Below are 6000 nucleotides of genomic sequence, written 5' to 3'. Positions count from 1 at the left end.
GGCGCGGTGGCTCACGCCTGTAATCCTGGCACTTTGGGAGGCTGAGGCGGGCAGATCATGAGGTCAGGAGATCAAGACCATCCTGGCTAACACGGTGAAATGCTGTCTCTACTAAAAATACAAAAAAAAAAAAAAAAAATTAGCTGGGTGTGGTGGTGGGCGCCTGTAGTCCCAGCTACTCAGGAGGCTGAGGCAGGAGAATGGCGTGAACCCGGGAGGCAGAGCTTGCAGTAAGCCTAGAGATGATTGCGCCACTGCACTCCAGCCTGGGCGACAGAACGAGACTCTGTCTCAAAAAAAAAAAGAAAATATACAAAGTTCCAGAAAAAGAATTTAAAATAATAATCTTAAGGAAACAGTGGAATTCAAGAGCATACAGTTACACAATTCAATGAAATCAAGAAAATTCATAATTTGAATGAGGAATTTAACAGAGATATAAAAAAGAACCACACAGAAAACTTAGAACTGAAGAATCCAATGAATTAAATGAAAAATACAATCAAGACTCTAACAACAGACTAGATCAAGCATAAGAAACAATTTTTGGGCCAGGCGTGGTGGCTGACGCCTGTAATCCCAGCACTTTGGGAGGCCAAGGTGAGTGGATCACCTGAGGTCAGGAGTTCGAGGTCAGCCTAGCCAATATGGTGAAACCCTGGTCTCTACTAAAATTATTAAAAAAATTAGTTGGGCATGGTGGCGGGCGCCTGTAATCCCAGCTACTCGGGAGTCTGAGGAGGAGAATCGCTTGAACCCGGGAGGCGGAGGTTGCAGTGAGCCGAGATCGCGCCACTGCACTCCAGTCTGACGACAGAGCGAGACTCGGTCTCAAAGAAAAAAAAATTTCCGCTCTATAACTTCACTTTTAACATTGTTTAGTTTTTCTGTTTTGTTTTTGTTTTGAGAGAGAATCTCGCTCTGTCGCCCGGGCCGCTCCGGACTACATTTCCCAGGAGCCTCGGCGCGCACTTCCGTTTCCGGCCCCTTTCTCTGGAGGATCTCCGCGCGTGGCGAGTCTGTGTCCTCCCTGTCCCCCAGAGCAGACACCCTCTCTGTGTCTGGACCGGGGAGGAGCAGACGCTGGACAGGGTGTGTGTGTTCAGCAGTGGATTGTCAGACTTGGGGTCCCGGCTGCTCCCTTTTGGGTCTCTCCCCGGGCCCGCTGATCTGACTGTAATTCCTTCTGCTGGAGCTAGGGTTCGGCCACCTTGACGCGCCCCCTCTGCCCCTGGAGCGTGTCTTTGGGTTTTGTGTGTGTGGGAGTGGGGTGTATGTGTGTTTCTTATCCGAGACACCTCTGGGTCGTTTGCTTGGAAACCGGCTGAGGGCCCGCATACCCTGGAGCATTTGGTTGCAAAGTGAGGCAGGTAGCGCCCAAGGCTCCTGTACCAGGGCCAGGTTAGGCACCAACGCGTCCCTTATGTCTCTGCAGCCTGCAGTGTGGTGGAACCGTTTCATAGACTGAAGTGTGAACGTAGGAGGGGATGGATATCAGAGATCTGTTTATCCACATTTTCAGAGAGTGGTATTGCTCTGATGTGAGCGTAGGCAGGTTACTCTCTGTGTCTCGTGTTCTTTACCTGTAATTTGAGGTTTGTTGTACCTACTATTAAGTGGTGGTTGTGAGGATTAAATGGAATTTTGACATGCAACAGTTGACACAGGGCCAGACACCAAGTAAGGGATCAATCAGTTGTTGCTTTTATTAATAGTAGGCATCCATCTGCCCATTTGCACGTAAGAAGGAAACACCCAAGAATGAAAAGTAGCTTGTTGTAGGTCACCCAGCCAACTAGCACATAGTGGAAATTAGAATCCAGGCACTCCCAGCAGGGCACTTTCCACCACCCTGCACTTTTGTATTCATCAGGCACAGTATCCTTACTGTTGTCTGTAACTGTCTATGTTCCCAGTGTCTGACTCTGCAGGGCCCTAGTGGTATAAAGGTACTGAGACTTGCCTGTGTTCAGGGCTTCCTGAAGATTAAATGGCTGCCGAAGTTCTTGAGTTTAGCTTTAGCTCAAAAGATACTGCGTCAGACTCTGCGTTCTGAGTAGAGTCTCAGAGAATGAAAAAAGAAATACAATGAAAAAGGGGAAAACTTCAATCCAGAACCTCTTACCACAGTTTCTGGTAGAATGCTGGCAATTTCCAGGAAGATACGTGGAGAACGGAAAGGTTGCTACACCCAAATAGTGAAGCAAAGGCTATGATTATGGAGGATTGGACCTGCAAACTCCAGAACAGAGGTAAGAAATAGAAATAAAGGGTCCTGCCATTAGCCAAGAATCTGCAGTATGCACACACAACCTCATTTTAGTTTTTCTTTACAGCAACCTTGTAAAATGTGTGTGGGCAGCACAGAGAACTTGGGCAAGTTAACAGTTTCCTCATCTGTGAATACTGATTTATGGAAAGCACCTGGTGCGTGGTGAGTGTGCGAAGAATGGTGGTGATTTTACTAATATTCCCTTTTAATTTGAAACTCTGAAAAAAGAAGATACCTTACTTCCGTACTCTTTCCATTATACCACCTGCCTTTCTGAAGGATAAGGGGGGATAAGTCGGACTCCTTGGAAGAGAAGAAAGAAATAGGTATGGAGAGGCTGATGATTTGATTTGGCATTATAGCACATGGGAGAGCCCTAGTCCCTTGAACCTCTATGAGCTCAGGGCTAGAGCTGGGGCCTGCGTCCCCAGGGTCCATGGCCCTGCTGCTCATTTCTGGCAGAATTAGAGACTGCTCCTTGGTTCTCTTTCAGTTTTCTCTTAAAAAGCGCTTTGTCTTAAGGAGATACAAAGGGATCCCCCAAATTAGAAGGGACTTCCATAGTCTATCTCTAGTCTGTTTGACTTTCCTATAATATCCTGCCCTCAGGCCCTCTGATTTCTGGAAGTCCTGGAACTTAGGAGTTCCTAACTCTACCTTAGCCCCGACTGATTGTCAGTGTCCAGTACAGGGAGGGGACAGGCATCTTGTGGGGAAGTTGGGATTTGGGAGTATGACCAAACATATTGATCATACCTTTTTTTCCTCGTAAAACAAAGTATAGAAAGAAAGCGCCATAAAGTCTTGGTTAATGTTGATATGCAGAAAATATTGAGAATAATAATTAACTGATGATTAAATGACCTTTCCTGAGTGCTTATTCTGTACCAGGTACTGGTTTGGGCCGTTTATGTGCATTAACACACATTGTAGCAACGTAGGTACCATTATTATTCTCTTTTGTAAAATTAGGAAATGAAGCCCAGAAGAAACTTGGCTATGGTTACACAGTGCCAGGATGTAAAGGCAGTAGGCAGGCAGACTCCAGAGCCAGAGTTCCAATGACAAAGGATTACAGGAGGCATGAATTCTACAAAATTGTGAAACCCTGTACTTGGTAATAACTGAGGCCTAAAAGAACTACTTCTTCCCCCAAACAAATCCACAAGGAGGTTTAAGTACTGCTTTTTGGAGATGGGTGGAGAGAGGATTGAAGAAATAATAAACTGTAAAATATTAGGAAAATATAGAATGATATGTAGAATAAGATAAATAGCATGTAACCCTACTACCTAGAGATAAGCGCAAAGAAATGCTCAAAGGTAATAGCATCAGCAGTTCTCTCCCTACAGGCAAAAAAATCAAAATGGAGAAGTAAATTATGAGCAGAAGGTTGCTTGTTGGGCATAGAATTCAGACCAAGGGAATTTAGGGCTCATTCATTAATTCATTCACAATACTTAGGGACTGCTGTCTGCCAAGTACACCGTGCTCAGTGCTTAGGATGCAGTGGTGAATGATACGACACATACAATTTAGTGGAGCGTGTGTGGTGTTAACAGGCCTGAGATGGCCACAGACTCACCGTGGGCCTGGAATACTCACGATGGGGTGGCTAAAGGTGTCTGTGACCATGACTGCTGGGGTGGGCACTGCTGTCTTTTGCTGCTGTGACTCCCTTTTTCTTGTTCTACAAAATTGGTCACTTTCTCCATTTGCGAATAAAGGAGTTGAGCCTGGAGGTCTTTAAGCACCTCTCCAACTGTAACATTGCACTTCTTGTTTTGTTTTAGGGTTTTTTGGTCCCAGGGAACCTCGTTTTCAGAGCAGTGGCTCACGCAGATCCTGAGCCCAGTTAATGGTCATACCTTTCCCTGAGTTTATGTTCATTCTATCCTCTGAGATTATCTTTGAAGTCTCATTACATAGATGTCTGTAAAATCCTTCAAGCTATGGACAGCCAAGGTCAGAGGCACATTTTCTCATAAGTGGCTGTTTCTAAATTCATAGGTTTGAGATACATAAAGATAAACCAGGTTCCTTTATGTCAATTTCCTTCCAGTTCTGCCCTCTGAGGACCCTGCCCTTTCCCAAAAGGGGTATCTTAAGAAGGAAAATATGGCTGCTCTTTGCCGGACAGCAGAGTCCCAGGTGAGTTGGGGATTTTCCTCTCTTCTTGGAAATTTTATTTTAATTGAGTTGGGGATTTTCCTCTCTTCTCAGAAATCTTATTTTAATTCCTGAAGCAAATTTTTTTTCTCTTAGCATGAAGCTTGTCAACCACATTAGCCACAGCAGTTTGAAAGGAAAGGATCAAGCAGGTGGGATGGACTGCCAATGAGATGGTGTTTGCGTGTTCCTCAGTTGTATGGCAGTAGCAGTGAAGGTCAGGAGGCTTGGTAGCCTCGCCCATCAGTTGGCAGTGTAGAGAAAGGATGGTAGGGGCAGGATGGGAATGAGGCCTCTTTAGCAGATAATTGAGGAGCGTGACTCCTAGAACATGGTTGGGTAAGAATCAAGCTTCTTTTTGTTCACTTGAGACATTTGGCATAGATATGCAAAGGCACGTGAGGCATTTCTTGCTTGCATCTGCTTAGAATATTTTGGGGAGAAAAGATGTACACAAATCTGTGTGGCACAAACCAGCAGATTTATTATTATTAAATAGGGCCTTATTATTAAGGGCCTACTCAATATAAAGTGTCTTAGGGAAAATGCTGTATGGACTTGGAGGAGCAGGAGCAAATGTGTCTGGCTGAGAGAGATTTAGGAAGGTTTTATTCATTCAACTAGCATTTTAAAGTCCTTTTAAGCAGCTCCTAGGCTAATGAAAGTAGTGAGATTTGATGTGGGCCCTGAAAGCTGAGTAAATTCTTGAAAGATTTATAGAAAGTTAGTGACATAAATGACTTAGAATCAAAGCAAGATACTGATTCCTCTGGCACAGGAAAAAAGTCAGTACATTGAAATCACAGAGGTGTTGTTCCACAAAAACTTAAAGGCTTCTTATACTCAAAGTTCTTTCCTAGATATAATTCTCAAGCTTGGCTTATTTCTTTTTTTCTTTTTTTTTTTTTTTGAGACATAGTCTCGCTCTCTCGCCCAGGCTGGAGTGCAGTGGCGCGATCTCAGCTCACTGCAAGCTCCGCCTCCCAGGTTCACTCCATTCTCCTGCCTCAGCCTCCCGAGTAGCTGGGACTACAGGCACCCGCCACCGCGCCCGGCTAATTTTTTGTATTTTTAGTAGAGACAGGGTTTCACCGTGTTAGCCAGGATGGTCTCGATCTCCTGACCTTGTGATCTGCCCGCCTCGGCCTCCCAAAGTGCTGGGATTACAGGCGTGAGCCACCACGCCCGGCCAGCTTGGCCTATTTCTTAGTTTCTTACTTACCATGTGTCTCTCTCAACTTAACTGAAGATAACCTTAAGGCCGGCTAAACAATAGGCTTGGGTGGGAAGGCCACATCCTTAATCTGACATTTTTTTTACAGGGCTAAATCACTTTGTTTAGTTAACAGGTGTAATGGGCCTTTATTGCTCAAAGCTCTTGTTAGACTTACTTCCCACTGTATGAGATCTAGAAACAGTTTGCTTTTCCAACCACGTGAGGCCTCAGATTTCTGCACTCTATTCTCTTTTGTTTTGGCTTGAAAATTGACACATTGTTTCCTGAACTTAACTCATTCTTTGTTCGCCAGACATATCCAGGAGCATTCTACACAAAGAGC

General features: G+C 44.8%; 1 protein-coding gene across 8 annotated transcripts in view; it reads left to right on the top strand.

Moving 5' to 3' along the window:
* Positions 1–976: 976 nt before the first annotated feature.
* Positions 977–6000, top strand: part of TRIM16 (tripartite motif containing 16) — a 56346-nt gene continuing 51322 nt past the window's right edge. For 3 of the 8 annotated variants that reach the window (NM_001348126.1, NM_001348124.1, NM_001348119.1), the window contains exons 1-4: positions 977–1092; positions 2131–2252; positions 2337–2434; positions 4335–4423. In NM_001348126.1, coding sequence (NP_001335055.1) covers positions 4391–4423 — 33 coding nt within the window. In that variant the 5' untranslated portion in view covers positions 977–1092; positions 2131–2252; positions 2337–2434; positions 4335–4390. Of the gene's footprint in view, positions 1093–2130; positions 2253–2323; positions 2435–4334; positions 4424–6000 lie in introns of those variants that run through there. The other 5 variants (NM_001348122.1, NM_001348120.1, NM_001348125.1 and 2 more) reach the window with 4 other exon arrangements.

This window comes from Homo sapiens, chromosome 17, assembly GCF_000001405.40.
Source record: "Homo sapiens chromosome 17, GRCh38.p14 Primary Assembly".
NCBI classification, from domain to species: domain Eukaryota; kingdom Metazoa; phylum Chordata; class Mammalia; order Primates; family Hominidae; genus Homo; species Homo sapiens.
This window is presented reverse-complemented; position numbering and strand designations above follow the sequence as displayed.